The sequence below is a fragment of the Homo sapiens genome, chromosome 3 (genome assembly GCF_000001405.40).
Source record: "Homo sapiens chromosome 3, GRCh38.p14 Primary Assembly".
In the NCBI taxonomy this organism is placed as follows: domain Eukaryota; kingdom Metazoa; phylum Chordata; class Mammalia; order Primates; family Hominidae; genus Homo; species Homo sapiens.
The window spans coordinates 100,361,787-100,382,102 of record NC_000003.12 but is presented as its reverse complement, the minus strand read 5'-3'; the positions used below and the strand labels follow the sequence as shown (position 1 = coordinate 100,382,102).

Below are 20,316 nucleotides of genomic sequence, written 5' to 3'. Positions count from 1 at the left end.
ATGTGATTTCAGTATGGTTTTCAGTGGCACTTACCTGTAATAAAGATCTTCAGATGAAAGCCCAAGGTAAATGGACTTAACATTTTCAGCACCTGTGTAAGATGTGGTCTTACATCTTTGTAGAGGGAAAAGGCTCTCATTTAAAACCAGCTTTAAACAGCTGGGACTGGCAGCTTCACCTTTTCCACTGTCTTTTGTTCTGTGGCTTGGAGCTTAATTTTAGTTATTTGAAAATGAGAATCCAATTTTTATGACAGTTATTCTTAGCGTTCTACAATGTACCTGCTTCTTTGGTTGGTATTTCCCATCCTGATGTCTTTAAACATGACTAAATTTCAGAATCGTGAACCTCTGATGCCATCTCCACAGTTTATCAAATCTTACTTCAGTTCTTTCACGGATGATATCATTTCCCAGCCCATGCTTAAAGGAGAGAAATCTGATGAAGATAAAGACAAGGAAGGGGAGGCTTTAGAAGTGAAAGAAAAGTAAGTATGTCAAGCATAGTGTCTACTTAGTGGTGTTTTGGGTGCTTTGAACTTTCCTTAGGGCCCATATGGGTTCTGAGCCATCTCACAACAGCAGCTATCTATCTACAGATAGAGATAGACAGAAATATAATTAAAAATTATATAATATTATTATTATAAAAACACTTTTCTTTCTAGCATGTATCTGTTACTTCTCTGGTAACTCAGGGTTTTACTGCCAGGAGTCTACCCTGCTTTTACTCAAGGTCCTATATGATCTTCTCAAAAGGACTCCGATTGAATCCAGTGGCTGACCGTGTTTGAATAGAGGCAATAACTTGAAAATTATTGTGTAGCTCAACATGCAGATGTTCTAGTGCAGGGAAGTTTTTAATTTATAAACAGATACTTTTAGGGGTGCCCAAAGAGTGAATTTTTTCAAGGATTTTTCTGCTTGTCTAGGAAGATGCCCATTTGGAGGGCTTCTTGTTGGAGCCTGTAGAGAGCTGAAACCAAAGTACAGGATACTGTGTTTCTAGCTGGAGACCTAATGATATAATGTCGTATAAACCATCTAGCCTGCTTTATTCCATTCGTATTTATCAATACTTGTATTTTTCTGTCAAGGGTAGCCCTCTCTGAGAGAAGGTACAATATTATTATCAACATGATTTTTTTAACGAGTTAGGAAGAAAAGGAAATACTGTTCTAGTAGCTGTGCATAACTGGGTTTTGCATCTTCAGCATATTGGAGGGTTTGAAGAAACAAATGGCTTTTGATTTTTATCTTCCAATTTTTCTACCATTGCTATTGACCTTTTAAGAGAAGATACTGTGCATAATTATACTGCAGTGTACAAATTTTAGTTCATTGATACACAATCTTTGAGAAGATTGTAGTTGGGAATTAAATGTTTAAGATGTCGTATTAGCTCTTGTGACAGTTATGCAAATACTTTCTTCTTCTGGTTAAGAAATAGTCCTTGTCCCAGAAAAACTATAATGAATTTAATACCATTATTCTAAAAGCTTTACTGAGAGATGGTAGGACGTAGCTAGCTATCATCAGCACACTAACTGGAATTGGACCCAAGTTTTAAATTCCATTTTACTCTGAGCCTTAGCTTTATCATCCTTTAAATGGAGCTAGTAATATTTACCTTACAAGGTTATTGTGAGGTGTAGAAATCATGCTTATAAATAACTAGCACTTATGTTCTTCAGTAAGTGGGATTACTTCTAATCTGATTTAATCATTGTTTGTGTTTTCGTTTTCTCTTTTTTTTTTGATAATGAGGTATCTTTCGCCTAGGCTAGAGTGCAGTGGTGGTGCAGTCTTGGCTCACTGCAACCTCTGCCTACTGGGATCAAGCAATTCTCCCACCTCAGCTTCCCTAGTAGCTGGGATTACAGGCTCATGCCACGACGCCAGCTAATTTTTGTATTTTGAGTAGAGACGGAGTTTCACCATGTTGGCCAGGCTGGTCTCGAACTCCCGACCTCAGGTGATCCACCCACCTCGGCCTTCCAAAGTGTTGGAATTACAGGTGTGAGCCACTGCACCTGGCCTGTTTGTGTTTTCTTAGCCTGGTGACCTGAGAAACAAAACTAGAATGTAGGCAACATTGGAATGTCATTACAGGAGAGGTTAGCATAGAGCTTATAAGATTTTTGGCTGACATAACTTTTTAAATTTTTTTAAGAGACAGGGTCAGGTCAGACATGGTGGCTCATGCCTGTAATCCCAACACTTTGAGAGGCTGAGGTGGGCAGATTGCTTGAGCCCAGGAGTTTGAGACTAGCCTGGGCAACATGGAGAAACCCTGTCTCTACAGAAGAATAACAAAAATTAGCTTGGCATGGTGGTGTCCACCTGTAGTCTCAGCAACTGGGGAGGCTGAGGTGGGAGGATTGCTTGAGTCCCAGAGGCAGAGGTTGAAGTGAGCCAAGATCATGCCACTGCACTCCAGCCTGGGGAACAGAGCAAGACTCTGTCTCAAAAAACAAAAGGGAGAGAGAGGGGGTCACTCAGGCTGGAGTAGAGTGTTGCGATCATAGCTCACTACAGCCTCCAACTCCTGGAATCAAGCTATCCTCTCGCCTCAATGTCTTGCGTAGCTGGGACTCTAAGTGCACACCACCATGCCTGGCTAATTTTTTTTGTTTTTAATTATGGAGACAGGGTCTTGCCATGTTTCCCCGGCTGGTCTTGAACTCCTGGGCCCAGGTGATCCTCCCACGTTAGCCTTCCATACTACTGGGATTACAGGCATGAGCCACCATGTCTGGCCTGACGTAACTTTTAAGTCATTTGCCAGTTTTCTTTATACAGATATAACAACTGAAATAAGAAAATGTACTTTAATTTACAATGCCTTATGTTTGGAAGATACCTCATGTACCTCATGACACCTAATACAAATTTCAGTTAAAAAAAATTACTTCTACAAGCATCTCCATAAAAGTCATCATCTTAGAAGAATAATAAGAGATACTGTGCTCACTGCTTTTTAAAACATACAGAAGGGTGTTTTTTAAAGTATTAATTGATGGAAGAGTCTTCCTTTAAATTTGCTTCTTTAGTAAGTTCAGTTATTTATTTATTTATTTATTTATTTATTTATTTGAGACGGAGTCTCGCTCTGTCGCCCAAGCTGGAGTGTAGTGGCGCGATCTCAGCTCACTGCAAGCTCCGCCTCCCGGGTTCATGCCATTCTCCTGCCTCAGCCTCCCGAGTAGCTGGGACTATAGGCACCCGCCACCACGCCTGACTAATTTTTTTGTATTTTTATTAGAGATGGGGTTTCACCATGTTTGCCAGGATGGTCTCGATCTCCTGACCTCGTGATCCGCCCACCTCTGCCTCCCAAAGTGCTGGGATTACAGGCGTGAGCCACCGCATCCAGCCAATAAGTTCAGTTATTAATTCTAGGTCTGCTCACACCCCTTGCCTTAGCTTCTGTGACTCTAAAGTCACTTATTTCCTATTTCCCTGTTCCTTCTTTTAGCCATTAAACAACTGTTGAGTACCATTGATGTGCCTCAGATATGAAGGTGAATAAGACAGGATCCTTACCTATGTTGCAGATCAGTCTCTCTTTCGTTAGCTCATCTTTTCAGTATCTAAATGTCTAAGCTGAGGTATTACCCAGGACTCTGCTGCTTCCTTTTTAAAACTCCTCCTCCAAGGTTTCAAGAAAATCCCCGTCTACATCAAAAATCCTAATCTGTTTAACCGCACCGCCCCTCCCCACCCCAACCCCATGCCACACTGGCTGATTATCTTGTTAAGTGGAAATAGACAATTGCTTAATTAACTCAGGTGTGCCAAATGTGGCATGTTTTAACATTGAATTCTTTCTTTTCTTTTCTTTCTTTCTTTTTTTTTTTGAGATGGAGTCTTGCTCTGTCTCCCAGGCTGGAATGCAGTGGCACCATCTCGGCTCACTGCAACCTCCACCTCCCGGGTTCAAGCGATTCTCCTGCCTCAGCCTCCTAAGTATCTGGGATACAGGCATGCGCCTCCACGCCCGGCTAATTTTTGTATTTTTAGTAGAGACGGGTTTCACCATGTTGGCCAGGCTGGTCTCGAATGCCTGACCTCGTGATCCGCCCACCTCGGCCTCCCAAAGTGCTGGGATTACAGGCGTGAGCCACCACACCCAGCCACATTTAATTTTTTCTTAGTAAATAATTTCCTATGTTTGTTTTTATTTTCAGTTCTGGATACTTAAAGGCCAAACAGTATATGGAAGAAGAAAACTACGATAAAATCATAAGTGAATGCTCAAAAGAAATAGATGCTGAAGGCAAATACATGGCAGAAGCATTGCTACTACGAGCTACCTTCTACCTGCTTATTGGCAATGCCAATGCAGCCAAACCAGATTTAGATAAAGTCATCAGTTTGAAAGAAGCTAATGTGAAGGTACATTAAAAAATGTGTGTGAAGAAATTATTAAATAGAAGGCGATGCCTTTCATTATGTTTTGCCAGATTTTTTAAAGCATTTCAACTGCCATTCTTCAAAGGGCTGTTTTTGTTTTTGAAGAAACTACTCTTAATAATAATGTAGTTGGTGCAGTGAATCTGAAAACATAAATATCAATGATATTTATCTTTATTTAGGAAAGGAAATTTTTTTTTCCTATAGCATCCGGTAGTTTCATCGTCTCCCTGTAGCCACTGCCTACCATATTGGACTGTATTTGGGCAGTGGTAAAGGTGATATGCAATTCTGTAGATAATGCTGTCAGTAACGTGTAATATGTAGCACCAGGTTATAAAACACTTAATAAAAACACATTAATATATTCAGAAAGGTTCTAAAAATAGAATGTATAAATATGCCAAAAGTCTTGCAGTTGTACAGTTGGAACAGCCTTTCATTTTCTAAGTATTCTTAATGTGCTATGTATTACACATTTCATAATTAAGATTCAGGGGCATCTGTTGAATTGTTACATTCTATTCAGTGTAACAAAACAATTTAACCACCAATTAACTATATTACTTATTAGTTTGTTAACATCTCTGTGACCTGTTTCCTCATTGCATTAAATGAACTCTGTAGCCTCTCTCCTCTCCTATATTTGGGGGGGATATAAAAGTTGTTTTAAGACCTAAATATTGTTAAAAGTTTCTTTCAAAATGAGATTTTCAAATTGAAGATACCCTCATAATATTATCTTTAATATTATTTTCTGCTGATTTTCCTGATGATTACAACTGATATATGTTATATGTTTTTGTTATAATTGTGGAGGATGTTATTATTTGTTCTATATGTATGTAGTATTGCTTTGAACAAAATTTTAAAGAAACGCATTGTTTTCATGATCACATGACTTTTAGTGGCAAGTAGTAATGATGCCTACCATATGCCATGCACAAAAATTAACTCAAAATGGATTAGAGCCCTAAATGTAAGAGCTAAAACTATAAAACTGTTAGGATAAAATAGAGGACTAAATGTTTGTTACCTTAGATAAGCAGCAGTTTCTTAGATATGGCACCAAAAGCACAAGCAACCAAAAAAAAAAAATAGATTGGACGTGATCAGACTTCTGTGCTTGGCTGGGGTGGTGGCTCATGCCTGAAAATTAGCCGGGCATGATGGCATGTGCATGTAGTCATAGCTACTCAGGAGGCTGAGATGGGAGGATCACCTGTACCTGGGAGGTCAAGTCTGCGGTGAGCCGTGACTTGTGCCACTGTACTCCAGCCTGGGTGACAGAGATCCTGTCTCAAAAAAAAAAAAAAACTTCTGTGTGAAAAGACACCATCAAGAAGGAGAAAACACATCACACAACATGGGAAAAATATTCACAAATCATATATCTGATTAGGAGCTTGTATCCAGAATAAAGAACTCTTAGAGCTCAACAATAAAAAGACAACCTAAGTTAAAAATGGGCAAAGGATCTGAATACACATTTCTCCAAAGAATATACAAATGACCAATAATAAATGACAAGATTGTTGGCATCATTAGCCATTAGGGAAATGCAAACCAAAACCACCATGAGATGCCACTTCACACCTACTAGGATGGCTATAATCAAAAAGACAATAAGGCTCTAATAAAAAACATTGGACAATAATAAGTGTTTTTGAAGATGTGGAAAATTGGAACCCTCATACATTGCTGGTGGAAATATATTAATACAATGGTGAAGCCCTTTTGGAAATTAGTTTGGCAATTCCTCAGAAACTTACCATATGATCTAGTAATTCCACTCCTAGGTATATACCCAAGAGAATTTAATACGTTCGTTAACACAAAAACTTGTACATGAGAGCTGGGTGTGGAGGCTCACACCTGTAATCCCAGCACTTTGGAAACCCAGGAGTTCTAGACTACCCTGGGTAACGTAGCAAAATCTCATCTCTATTTTTAAAAAGCTTTTTTAAAAACCTTGTATGTGAATGTTCATAGCAGCATTATTTATGGTAGCCAAAAAGTGGAAGCAGCTCAAATGTCCATCAGTTGATGAATGGATAAATAAAATGTGATATCTGTACAATGGAATATTTTTCAGGCATAACAAAAGAATGAAAAACTGATACATGCTACAATATGGATGAACCTTGAAAACATTATGCTAAATCAAAGAAGCCAGACACAAAAGGCTATATATAATGTATGATTCCACTTACATGAAACATCCAGAATATACAAATCCATAGAAATAGAAAATAGGTTGGTGTTTTCTAGGGGCTGAAGAGTAGGAGGTGAGGGGGATGGAGAGTGACTGCTTATTTGTATGTGGTTTCTTTTAAGGGTGATGAAAATGTTCTGGAATTAGATAGTGGTAATCAACACACAACTTAGTGAATACACTAAAAACAGGTGACATGCATACTTTAAAAGGGTGACCTTTGTGATATGTGGATTATAGAAAAAAGCTGTTATTTAAAGAAACTAGATTGGAGGGAAAAAAAAGTAATGATGAACCTTTCCTCACTTGGGGTATATAGCTTCGAGCAAATGCTCTCATCAAAAGAGGCAGCATGTACATGCAACAGCAGCAGCCTTTGCTGTCCACTCAAGATTTTAACATGGCTGCTGACATCGATCCTCAGAATGCAGATGTTTATCACCACCGAGGACAGGTAAGTCTGTTTTCTTACCTAGAGGTCTGACTTGTGGATTGAGCTTTGATACCATTTTTGAGAATTTCTTATGTAATTTTCTTGAGTTTTCTTATATAATTTCTGATAGCTGTGAACAAAGTATCACAGTGGTTTACAGTTTGAATTGGCCTTTGTTTAGTCTGTCTTGAATATTTGTCTTTAATTTTGGTATTTACTTATGAAAAAAGAGTAAAGGAAGGCAAAAACTGTTGGCTTACCAGTTCAAGTTTGTTTTTCTGGTGTTTCTGGTTCATAGGTTTCAATGAGTAAAACATTAATAACATTTAGTAAGCAATGTGAGTTAATTCTAGAATCAACAGGATGATTTTTGTGAGCTTCTTGCTATAAGGAAATAGTCTGGACTGTCCAAATAGTAAAAATAAATATATTTATCTTTTGAAGTTTTATAACAGGCATATTAGTTTTTTAGTAGAAATATATAGTGAAGAAACAGTTTCCAATTACTGCCTCAAGTGGGGAAAACATGGCTTTATAATCAGCTTAACATGGCTTCTTGGAATGCATTATGGTATAAAGTGTGAGCTATGCATTAATAATAACAGAAGAGCCGAAGTTCTTTCTAATGGAGAATTTTACCTAATAGGGTCATGTGTCCTGCCAGGGAAGTGCATTATTAGGCGATTTTGTTGTGTGGACATCATAGAGTGTACTTCTACAGACCTAGATGGTATAGCCTACTACACACCTAAGCTGTATGTTGTAGCCTGTTGCTCCTAAGCTACAAACGTGTATAGCATGTTACTATACCAAATATTATAGGCAGTTATAACACAATGGTAAGTATCTGTGTGTCTAAAACATATCTAAACATAGAAAAGGTACAGTAAAAATGCAGTATTACAATCTTTTGGGACCACTGTTGTATATGTGGTCTGTTGATTGAAATGTAAATATGCATGACTGTATTTCTTTCAGAAGGGTGTTAAGTGTTGAGATAACCTCTTAAAATTCTTGACATTTTGATCTTTACTGGTAGTGTCTGAAGATTAATTTGAAAGGTAATTATCTGATGTCTAACCTGCTTTGATATTAGAATGTACAGGATGTTTAGTTTTCTAGAAGAAGGGGTTTCTTGCTTAATAGTGATCAGAATTGCAGGGCAGAAATGGTTGGCTTGTAGTCCTTTCTATAAGTTGGATACCATTTTTATGTTTTGGAATCTTGCCTTTTAAATTTCAAGATTTTTAAATCACTGTTTCTAGAAAGTAATTATATATTGAATTACTACTACATGCTCAGCATTATGCTGAGGTGTAATAATAGAGATGAGACACTGAACATACTTAACTGGACTAGTTGAATTACATTTATTTACGTATTTTTTTCTTAGCTGAAAATACTCCTTGATCAAGTTGAAGAAGCAGTGGCAGATTTTGATGAATGTATTAGGTTAAGACCTGAGTCTGCTCTGGCACAAGCACAGAAATGTTTTGCATTGGTAGGTACTACTTTCTTTTGTATTTTCCTAAACATCACTTTTATTTTCCAGCGTCAACAAAAATGAGTATCTCATTGTCTACAAAGTCGTCTTTTTCTTTCTTTCCCAAAGGATAACTACTGAGGAAAAAAGGTGCTGATTGATACCTAGCTCTTGTATTTCTCTGGACATTTGTTTGGGTTCATCTTGATAGATGTTTGTCCCTGATTTTATACTTCCCTAAACAGAACTGGTCTCCCTGCTTCATCATAAATCAATATAAAGAGCAAAAACATTTTGAGGAAACACTCTGTAAACATGACACCATGTAACTTGCTCTCTCACCCCTGCTTCATAGAACTGTTTCTTAATATTCAGAAACACAAAGCTCAAAAGGTTGTTTTTTTTTTTTTTTTAAGTAAAAATTTTTCTAGTAAAATAAGATACTTCCAGTTAGCTGTATGGCTGGAGTCGTAAAAGAATTTTCAGTTTAAAGGAAGAAATTATGTCACAAATATATATTATAAATGAAAATGACAAAAATTTTACTAGATTTAAAATTCATTTATTGCAAAGTTCACTTCTTACAAATTAGTATGCCCTCTTCTACAGTATTGAACATCTTGAAATTGTATAGTGGCCATGGAGTCCTAGTTGTACATAACCTTTGGCTCTCTGCTGCTGAGATACCTACTTGGAACCCTTTTGGATGCTGCAGATTATGTTAGCAAATCACCTGTTTTTTTGGAAATATTTATGTAATTTTGTGTGTTTATGTTAACATTCCATGAGTTTTTGAGTTCTTGATTTGACAGGCCTGTTTTGATTTTTTATAGTACCGCCAGGCATATACGGGAAACAACTCTTCACAAATCCAAGCAGCTATGAAAGGTTTTGAAGAGGTCATAAAGAAATTTCCAAGGTGTGCCGAAGGCTATGCACTATACGCCCAGGTAAATGTTTTTTCAGGTTTTTTAAAAATAACTGCATACATATGCCAAATCTCAGTATGGAAATCAGAAAACAGTGCTATCATGGTTGCAGCTTCTTTGGAAGCAGGTGGCTTTGTTCCTGATTGATTCTCATGGCCCCTGGTTGGTCCCGAATCACCTCAGAAGAGGCTCCTTTGTTACACAATTTGGAAATCATGGCCCTAAACTCAATATGGGGAAGCTTAAGGCGAGAATTTCCCTCCTGTCTTCATTTGGATTGGTTTTGCAAAAAGTAATTACCTTAGGAAAATTTACCGTATGCAATTGGTGGAGAAAATATCCACGGAAAGGCTTTTCTTTCTATCTGGTCACTGCCTTTTTATATGGCTAGGTTGTTGTAACGGTTTATTTTAATTTATCTTTGCTTTATCTAAAATTCCTGAAACTCTCTTGGTTTAGGATTGAAGCTATGGAAAGCAGGATTTAAATCTGAATTTTTTTATTGTAGTCTGAAATTCTTGAAAACTTCTTAGTTTTAAATCATCCATTTAAATGAAAATGATTAGCTTCTTGTAGTGACGGTCATACATTTTCCCCTCAAATAAAAGATCTCTGAATGACTCAGTTTTCTTTCTTAAAGCTGAAAATTGGTTTTGGTGTCTACATAAACTAGCCATCTCAATACTCTATATCAGGGGTACAGCTGCTTTGTGGCCTCTTAGGAATGGGGCTGCACAGCAGGTGAGCCTTGGGCAAGCATCACCACCTGAGCTCCACCTCCTGTCACTGTCAAATCTGCAGCAGCATTAGATTCTCATGCCTGATGATCTGAGGTGGAACAGTTTCATCCCAAAACCATCCCTCCTCCTCCTACCCCCATCCATGCAAAAATTGTCTTCCACAAAACCAATCCGTGGTGCCAAAAGTGCTGGGAAGGTGTTGGGGACTGCTGCTCTATGTAATTTATTTTTCTTTTTTTTTCTCTTTTTAATTACAAAAGACATGTTGGGTTTTTCCCCACAGCACAGAAATAGGAAACGATAACAAATTACTATCCCCTGGCTGGGTGTGGTGGCTCCTGCCTGCAATCCCAGCACTTTGGGAGGCTGAGGCAGGCGGATCACTTGAGCCAGGAGTTTTGAGACTAGCCTGGCCAGCATGGAGAAACCCCATCTCTACTAAAAATACAAAAATTAGCTGGGTGTGGTTTGGCGCACACCTGTTATCCCAGCAACTCGGGAGGCTGAGGTAGGAGAATCGCTTGAACCCAGGAGGCGGAGGTTGCAGTGAGCTGAGATCACACTACCACACTCCAGCCTGGGCAAGAGTGAGACTCCATTTCCAAAAAAAAAAAAAAAAAAAAAAAATACCATCGCTGGTTGACCCCTCTCCTTAAACCATTCTTAAGGATGCTTATTTTGTTTTTAATTTCCTTCATGGTATCTGTAGGCAGGTTATAAGAACAATTTCACAAGGATTTTAAGGGTTTATTGAGGGTGGAACTATGAGAAAATTGATTTGTGTTGGATCTGTTCTTTAGAGGTAGGTCTTATATATAACTACATTAAAGTGTACATTTTAATCCTATGAATGGGTACACTTGAGTTTATGCCTTATAATTAGTAACAAACCAGGAAATGACAGCAACATCCTCATCATTGTCATGGAATTCAGAAGGGCTTTTTTGGTGCAGATTTCTCTAAGCATCTAGAAGAGCAAAGGCCACCGAATAGGAACCACTACTGGGGAACAACTCCTCTGCAGAACTTTCCCAATAGCATATTTCCCTATTACCATTCTGCCTTCAAGATAGGTTTGGTTTGTATGAGCTGTCTTCTCATCAGCATTAGCATTATTACAGTCAGTTTGCACTCAAATTTCTTTTCTTTGGTCTGTTTTCTAATTTTAGCTTCACTATATAGTATATGTAACTTTATATATGCATACAGTACGTGTGTGTGTATGTGTATGTGTATATATATATACTTAGTGTAACTTTTTTGGCCCTCAAAGCTTTGGCGTAGATGCTGGCCAACTCGCAAAGTTACAGCTTGAGCATAGTCTGATATCCACAGAACTGTGCCTTCCATTTCAGCCGTGGGATTTGTCTTAAAAAGTTGATTATAGCTGCTGCTTTTGTTTTCAAAATAAGTATTTATTACATTATTGTTAACTATGACAAACAATTGGGGAAAATCCTAAATGTTAACAGAAAATTGAATTATGTTTGCAGAATTGTGGTACACTCACTTAATGGTATATTATGCAGCCATTAAAAGTTACAAATACATTAAAGTTACAAAGCAAGATACAGCACTGCCTATTATTAAAGGGAGAATTGCATACAAAATGAACTCAACCATGTGAAAGAAAACAAATAGGGAAGTAAATAGAGATAGAAAAATATATCAGGAAGGCATCCATGCTCACAATGATGGAAGCTATAAAAATATTTCTACTTTCTATATCTTTCTGATTTTTATTATAAAGAAGATGTGCTGGCTACATTTCTTTGATATTTTTAAGAGCGATTTTTAAAATATTTAAGTTGGCTTATTTTAGATATGAAAAGACTAAGAGCCATACAGCTAAATATAATGACTCACATACTTCTTAAAAGTCATCTTATAAATAACCGGGGTTAACTGAATATGGGCTAGGTATTATAGATAATATTAGGGAATTATTTTTGGAGATATATTAGTTGAAGCAGTTATAGCTGCTTTTTAAAAAATCAATAATTTTAAACAAATAGCTCTGAAGACATTTAACACATACATCTTAACTTATACTTCCAAATGAATATTGCCCTTAAGATAATTCCCTGGCCAGGTGCGGTGGCTCACTCCTGTAATCCTAGAACTTTGGGAGGCCGAGGTGGGTGGATCACCTGAGGTCAGGAGTTCGAGACCAACCTGGCCAACATGGTGAAACCCCATCTCTACTAAAAATACAAAAATTAGCCAGGCAAGGTGTTGGGCGCCTGTAGTCCCAGCTACTCAGGAGGCTGAGGCAGGGGGATCACTTGAACCCAAGAGGCGGAGGTTGCAGAAAACAGAGATTGCGCCACTACACCCCAGCCTGGGTGACAAGAATGAAACTCTATCTCAAAAAAAAAAAAAAAAAAATTCCCTTGGGCTGTATTATGATAAATTATGAATAAGTGATGTGACTGTACCTATGAGAATGTGATATTAGAGCTGTGACTAAGAATGGGATTATCTGTATTGAACAGTTTACCAGAGATTATCTGCTGTGGCATATAACTAACCACTTGCTGAAGAAAGAGGATAGTTAAGATTTCATATTTATAGCAGTGCCACCTAAAAACTCCGATAATTAAGATGTAAAATGTAAATCAGTCTGTATCCCCAAAACGTGATAATTTTGTAATAATGAATGAAGTAAATTTTTATAATGAATAATAAGTATACTTTTAACTGCTTAGGTTGACGGTTACCTTAATATAACTGAAGTATCTCCTCACATAGGCATTAACAGATCAACAACAGTTTGGTAAAGCTGATGAAATGTATGATAAATGTATTGATTTGGAACCAGATAATGCTACAACATATGTTCATAAAGGGTATGTATTTTTGTGATTGTTCCAATGAGATAATAAATTTCTTGCATAGTAATAAAATGTATTTATTTTGGCCACTGAGGAAGGGGACTGTGGTAGAGAAGTTAATTGACAAACTTCTTAATGCTCCTAGATGTCTTTTCATTCTTACAGAAATTAGTTAAGGAGGCCAGGCGCAGTGGCTTACACGTAATCCTAGTACTTTGGGAGGCCGAGGCAGGCAGATCATCTGAGGTTGGGAGTTCGAAACCCTCCTGACCAACATGGTGAAACCCGGTGTCTACTAAAACTACAAAAAATTAGCCAGGTGTGGTGGCACATGCCCGATTCCCAGCTACTCAGCAGGCTAAGGAGTGAGAATCACTTGAACCTGGGAGGCAGAGGTTGCAGTGAGCCAAGATTGCACCACTGCTCTCCAGCCTGGGCGGCAGAGTGAGGCTCTGTCCCAAAAAAAACAAAAAGAAAGAAATTAATGTACTATTCTTGCTCTGTGTTAAGGGTTTTAATTTCAAACTGAACATCCTGTCAGCTGTTGGCTTATATCCAAATACGAAGCATACACAAGTGTTCGTGTCCTTGCGTACTTGAATTATCCTAAGAAACTTCACTTAAATTTATATAAAGTGAAAAATAAGGGATGCAAGATTGGTAATAGAGCCTAGACCATTGAACACTTTTTGTAATAAGGAACTTAGACTAGCAAACCAATATAAGCTGAGAAAAAAAACACAATTTGATGCTGATTATATATTGCCTTATAAGTTATAAGTTAACTTATAAGTTCATTGAAGGCAGAAATTGAGTCATATTAATGTGTGTGTATTCCTACTGATACTGGGCCATGGTCACATCTGACATTTTTTTGCATTTGCAGTTTACTTCAACTTCAGTGGAAGCAAGATCTGGATAGAGGTTTGGAACTTATCAGCAAGGCTATTGAAATTGACAATAAATGTGATTTTGCCTATGAAACCATGGGAACTATTGAAGTACAAAGGTAACTTCTGGAGTCTGTTAGGAAATATATGGTAGCTCCATAGATATTTAGCTTTTTGTTCTTATTACGTACATGTTAAAGTCTGTTATGTTCTTTCCTCTTTTCACCTGTATTATTCACGTTGGAAAAAAAAATGTGCTAAGGCAGTGACATAAGGATTGGTAGCCAAGTTGCCAGAAAATCTGGACCCTCCTCCAAAGAAGCATCCAGCCAAATGGCTGGGCAAGTTGCAACATCAACTCAGAGCCCCTGAATTTTCTTTAAAATCAGAGTTGGATAAGAACATTTTTTGCAGCTCTGTCCTTAACCTCTTATTTTGTGTAAGTGTTTATCCAGAGTTGCTCTTAAGATCCACCATTAAAAGGTGACAGCTGTTTTATATATGGGATTTATTGTATACCATCTTAATACTGGTATTGCCATTCATTTGAGTTTCCTACTTTAGGCCAAGTATTAAACTTTAGATGTTTCCTAAGTACTATTTCAATTAATCTTCATCCCCATCTTTATAAAGGTGGAGATTATATGATCCCTAATTTAACTGATGCCCAGAGGGCTTAGGTTTACAAGGTTGCACAGTAAGCCAATAGAGAAGACAGGGTTTGAGCTCATATATCACTGATACCACAGTCACTGATCTTGGCATTATCACTTGTCAGGAAGCAGCATGAGTTTTCTTAATTCCCTATCATTCAGCCCCTCCTGTAGTCCTCTCCCTGCTCTACAGTAGGCAGAATATATATAGGCTGGTAAAAAAAAAATTGTGTTTCTTTTAACCATTCTGTACCCACAGTGGCATGTAAATATTAAGTTTTTTTTTCTTCTTTTTATGAGACAGAGTCTCCAGCCCAGGCTGGAGTACAGTGGCACAATCTTGACTCTGCAACCTCTGCCTCCCAGGTTCAAGTGATTCTTGTACCTCAGCCACCCAAGTAGCTGGGACTACAGGCATGCACCACCATGCCCAGCTAACTTTTTGTATTTGTAGCAGAGATGGGCTTTTGCCATGTTGGCCAGGATGGTCTCAAACTCTCGGCCTCAAGTGATTTGCCCATCTCAGCCTCCTGAAGTGCTGGGATTACAGGTGTGAGCCACTGCACCCAGCCTAAATTATTTCTTAATTGCTAATTTGTTAATGTGAATAAAATATTCTTGTACTAGAATAGGATAGGGTGGTAGTTCTTAATCTTTTTTGAGCGAAGCTGTGGATTCTTCTTAGAATAATGCACACAAAAACACTTTGCTTTTAATTCAAGGCTTTCATAGATCCTGGGTTAACTAAAGACCTCTGATAGGGTTTGATGGAATTTTGTTCACGTTAATTGAACTTTGAAAAAATCCATTCTGAACCTTACAATTAAATAAGTGAATTTGAATAAATGAAATTGCAGATTATCCTAGGATTTTGCAGATCTGCTAGCTGTTGGCCTAATGCCAGAACATGAACTCTTGAAAAAAGTTTTTTTTAAAAATAAGCCTATCACGTTGCCATATATTATAATGGGGGATTAAATATAGTCACCCTAGTGGTACCTCTTACTGGCATATAAAGTCTAACTGGCACATATGCCAATAAAATGTACCTTACTAACATGTATGCCAGTTAGACTCTGTATATGCAGGTATATATATATATAGTAGGGACTTAATATTCTTTGTAGGATTGCATATATATGTAGCTAATACTAGTTACTTAAAACAGTTGGTTCTTAGATAGCTGTGGATTTGACCAGAATCAGGCAGAGGCAATAAATCTGAGTATTTATTGAGTAGGTGTGAGGAACTCACATAGACTGCCTGAAGAGTAGAGATGCATGGGGTTGGGGATGTGCTGGTAAGAGATGAAACAGAAAGAGGTGGGCCCACATCAGTCTGTGAAGGTAAGGCCCTTGCATGTCATTAGTGTCCCGGTATTATGTCACTGCTTTCTAAAGGAGTCTCATGTTAACAGTAGAAACATGTAAAATTTAGGAACCAGACGGAATTGTGATTTTAAATAAGCCAATCAATTTCCCTAGTCTGACTGTTCTTATCAGTAAACACAGAATACAAGGGATATAATGTAAGCACATAGTATTTGTAATAGTAGTTGACATTCATTGAGTGCTTTCAATGTGGTAGGTACTCTTGTTTATTTTAAAAGAAGCATTTTACTAGAATCATAGTAGAAACTTAGTGGTCAGACTTCATGTAGCATCACTTACAACCTTCATTGAATATTGTGAAGAAACTTAGTGGTCAGACTTCATGTACCATCACTTACAACCTTCATTGAATATTGTGAAGTGCTTGTTGAATCTGAGACTTAAAAATTTTGTTCTTTTAGAGGAAACATGGAGAAAGCCATTGACATGTTCAACAAAGCTATTAACCTGGCCAAATCGGAAATGGAGATGGCCCATCTGTATTCACTTTGCGATGCCGCCCATGCCCAGACAGAAGTTGCAAAGAAATACGGATTAAAACCACCAACATTATAAAACAGGGGGAAAGCAGACTGACCCTCTTTTTAAAAGTTTACCCCCTCTTCAACTGAACCCTAAAGACACTGTCATGAACTGTGTTGAATGGTGGAAATCAGTATTTCTGTTTGTGGTGTTGTTATTTGTTACATCTGTTTCATGTCTAGGTGTTGTGGGTGTGGCTGTTGAAGGAAGTTTGCAGTCTTGCAGCTTTTATTCCCTGTGCAACAAAAGATTAGAACATGTTAAAGGGATTTTTAAATAAAGTTGCAAAGAGTACAAATGATAATTGGCCATGCAAATAAAAACTGATTTGTTGATTTTTTTTTTAAGGGGGGTTGGCAGTTGATTATGTTCTGGATGATTCCGTCTATATATGTGTGAATAATGTAAGTATTTTACAGCATGTTGATTTTTAAATTAACGTAGTAAATGCTGTAAAATAGATTTATATTCAGTTAACCGCTTTCAGTTGATTTTTTGAAAGAAACAAAGGTTAAATGGGGGATTAAAGTAAAATTGAGAGACCCTTTAAACCATTGTCAGCATGCACAATGCCTCTGATTCTGCAGTTTTAGAAACTTGGTGGCACTTATTAATCCTCTTGGCCCCTTTCCACTCTAATGGATAGTGTACATTCTTCTTAAAGTCCACAACAGCAGATTTTCTTGCAGTAAATTATGCAGATGCAAAATATTCTAATTGATATATGTGTTGGAAGACTGAGTATTGATGGGGGAGTGGACCAGACAAAGAGGTAAGATGAAACAGTAGTGTGTTTATAATTGTCTGTGACTATTTTCTATAATAATTAGTACTATTTAATGGTGAGCTTTTAAAAATGTAGGATAGAGGGTACAGTGGCACTGTATATACTATTTATAGTCTCAGCTACTAGGGAGGCTGAGGCAAGAGGCTTGAGACCAGGAGCTCGAGGCTGTAATGTGCCATGATGATTGCACCTGCGAATAGCCACTGCACTCCAGCCTGGGCAATATAGCAAGACCCCATCCTTTAAAAAATTTTAGAACTTTTTTAAAATCAAAGTGCAGATTGCTTGTATGTAAAACCCAAATAAAGGTAGAGTAAGTGTGATATATGGGAGTATTAAAATAGCTTAAAATTTCTCGTGAAGGACATGTGGCTAAAGGGTCAAAAAGGATGTAAGACTTGGAGCCAGAGCATAGTATTTCCTGAAATAACAAGTTTAGTGCTTTAACTATGGCTACATGTGCTTAAGGAATTTTGAGCCACTTATTTTTGAAGATGCTGAGGACATGTAGAGTGCTTTTTGTAGTGAGCTAACCTTGATCTCTAAGGACTAACTACCCAGGTCCAGGTCTTCACTAGGGGTACTGACAGTGTTTAAGCTTTACTCCACCTCCTTACTTAGAAATCACTTTACGATTTATTTCCATTTTCCACTTTTATAGACCATCCTTTTGCTTATATGCTAGATTTTTCTGGTGAGGGAAGGGTTGTGTTCTTCAGGGGTCTTTTGTTTTGAAATACTCAGGATGGGGAGAGGTTTATTTAAGAACGAATTATAATTATGGTTTACACTGTTGGGAGTAAAGGAGCATTTTTACACCCCTTAAGGGTGCTTAATTCTGTTGAAACCAAAAAGATTTGTCTACAAATGCTATCTTTTTTAGAAACTATTAGAAATGACTCCCTTTCAAAGTCAATCTTTGGAAAATATTGAGGAGGTCACTAATTAGTTGGTGCAGTTAATATAATTCAAGATGATTTGGATGATGGGAAGTTTGAGACCGCTGCATTTTGTTTTTAAATTATGCACCTTCTGATAACCCCCAAATACAGAAATGTTCTACATCTCTGAATGACCTCTGACTTTAAAAAAGTTTTTATTTGCATGGCTGTATTTACATTAACACTGACATTTTCTTCTACTCTTCTCCCTTCTTTCATCTTGGGGTTGGGTAGAGAAACACAAAGGAAACTGAAGCATGTGCCATTCTATACTGTCATTCCAAATTCTCATGGACTATTGCCTGTTGTGAAAATGTTTGAAACTGCACTGAAAGCTGCATCTGTCTGTATCTTTCTTTTGTAAATGACCTCACATGTAAATTCACCAAATAAATATTACATTCAAGCTCTTCTATCTATTCTTTAAATAGAAAGATAGGTAGTTTAGGCTGGGCATGGTGGCTCACACCTGTAATCCCAGCACTTTAGCAGGCCGAGGCGGGCAGATCACGAGGTCAGGAGATCGAGACCATCCTGGCTAACACGGTGAAATCCGTCTCTACTAAAAATACAAAAAAGTAGCCGGGTGTGGTGGTGGGCGCCTGTGGTCCCAGCTACTTGGGAGGCTGAGGCAGAAGAATCATTTGAACCCGGGAGGCGGAGGTTGCAGTGAACCTGCTGAGATCACGCCACTGCACTCCAGCCTGGGCAACAGAGCAAGACTCCGTCTCAAAAAAAAAAAAAAGGTAGTTTATTCATTTATTATGCTATTGCGTAAATTCACAGTGAATCTCTTGTGAACTCAAAATAACTTTGAAAATAGGAACATACAGGAAATGTTAGCATATGAAGCAAAGTAAGTTTGTTGGTATGAATGGTGGAGTTTCTTGAGAGCATCCACCCCTCCTACTGTGAAACAAGGCTCCACGGAGAGCTGGTAGAGCCAACTTATTTCATTCTTTGCCTCTACCTTACCCATACATGCACAGCAGCCTGGAAGCTTGCCAATCAGACATGGACCCTGTGGATAAGTTTATTTTGAATCTGGTTTCACCAGTGAGATTGATCATAGTTCTCAACCACGTGGAGTCTCTCAGAAAGCATACCTGAAATAATCATCCTCGAAAATTGTGGTATAAGTAGAGAATACATCCCAAAACAATAAAAAGCAACTTTGGCTGTAAAACAGTTCAGACAGAACTTTCTGCCCTCTGGGAACTCAAATTGTAGTTTAAATAGTAGTTTGTACCTGTAGAAGTCAACTAATTGTTATAAGACTATAACAGGAGGACAATATAGCCAAACCAGGAAACTTAGGAGTATAGAATAACAATTACCCAAGACTGTCCTGTATGGAATTTGTATTTATAAGGAAATAACTTAGGAGTTGTTGTGGGGATACGGGTTATAATTAGTCCTATTCCCATCCTCTGCTAAATTGATTTGTGAACAAAGTGACAAAATTTTAATTTACTTGCAAGCTTTACCACACTGATAGGATGAGTAATGATTCCCCAAAAGACAGCCACATCCTTATCCCTGCAACCTGTGAATGTTACTTTAGTTGGCAAAAAATGGGCTTTGCAGATGTAGTGAAGGGTCTTGAGAAGGGGAGATTATCCTAGATGATCTGGTGACCTTAAAATGCAGTCACAAATGTCTATGTAAGAGGAAGGTTTTAGACAGAAGAGGAGATGGCAGTGTTGCCACAGAGGCAGAGACTGGAGGTGATGTGGCCACAAGCCAAAGAATGTTGGCAACTACCAGAAACTGGAAAAGGCAAGAAACGGATCCTGCCCTAGAGCAGAGTGCCAACACCTTCATTTTGGCCCCATGAATTTGGACTCCAGAAGTAAAAGAGAATAACTTTGTTTTTTTTCAGCCACTAAATTTGTGATGATAGTTTATTACATCAGCCATAGTAACAAATATTCCTTTGGCTATTGTGTACAAGCAGATAAATGGTTTAAAGGAATGCCTTTGAGTATGCTAAAGTAGAATGACTTCATATACACACAAATTTTGGCCAAAGATGGTTTAGGCAGTGAATGTACACCCATGCCACAGACTGGAGTTTTCATC

The 20,316-nt window shown here is 37.8% G+C and overlaps 1 protein-coding gene across 1 annotated transcript in view; it reads left to right on the top strand.

Moving 5' to 3' along the window:
• The window catches only part of TOMM70 (translocase of outer mitochondrial membrane 70), a 37,659-nt gene extending 18,987 nt beyond the window's left edge, over positions 1-18,672 (top strand). Inside the window, exons 5-12 of the mRNA NM_014820.5 lie at positions 340-488; positions 4,191-4,398; positions 6,951-7,085; positions 8,458-8,565; positions 9,381-9,497; positions 12,968-13,065; positions 13,937-14,059; positions 16,386-18,672. Of these exons, the coding sequence (NP_055635.3) occupies positions 340-488; positions 4,191-4,398; positions 6,951-7,085; positions 8,458-8,565; positions 9,381-9,497; positions 12,968-13,065; positions 13,937-14,059; positions 16,386-16,539 (1,092 nt within the window). The 3' untranslated portion in view covers positions 16,540-18,672. The remainder of the gene's footprint in view (positions 1-339; positions 489-4,190; positions 4,399-6,950; positions 7,086-8,457; positions 8,566-9,380; positions 9,498-12,967; positions 13,066-13,936; positions 14,060-16,385) is intronic.
• Positions 18,673-20,316: the final 1,644 nt, after the last annotated feature.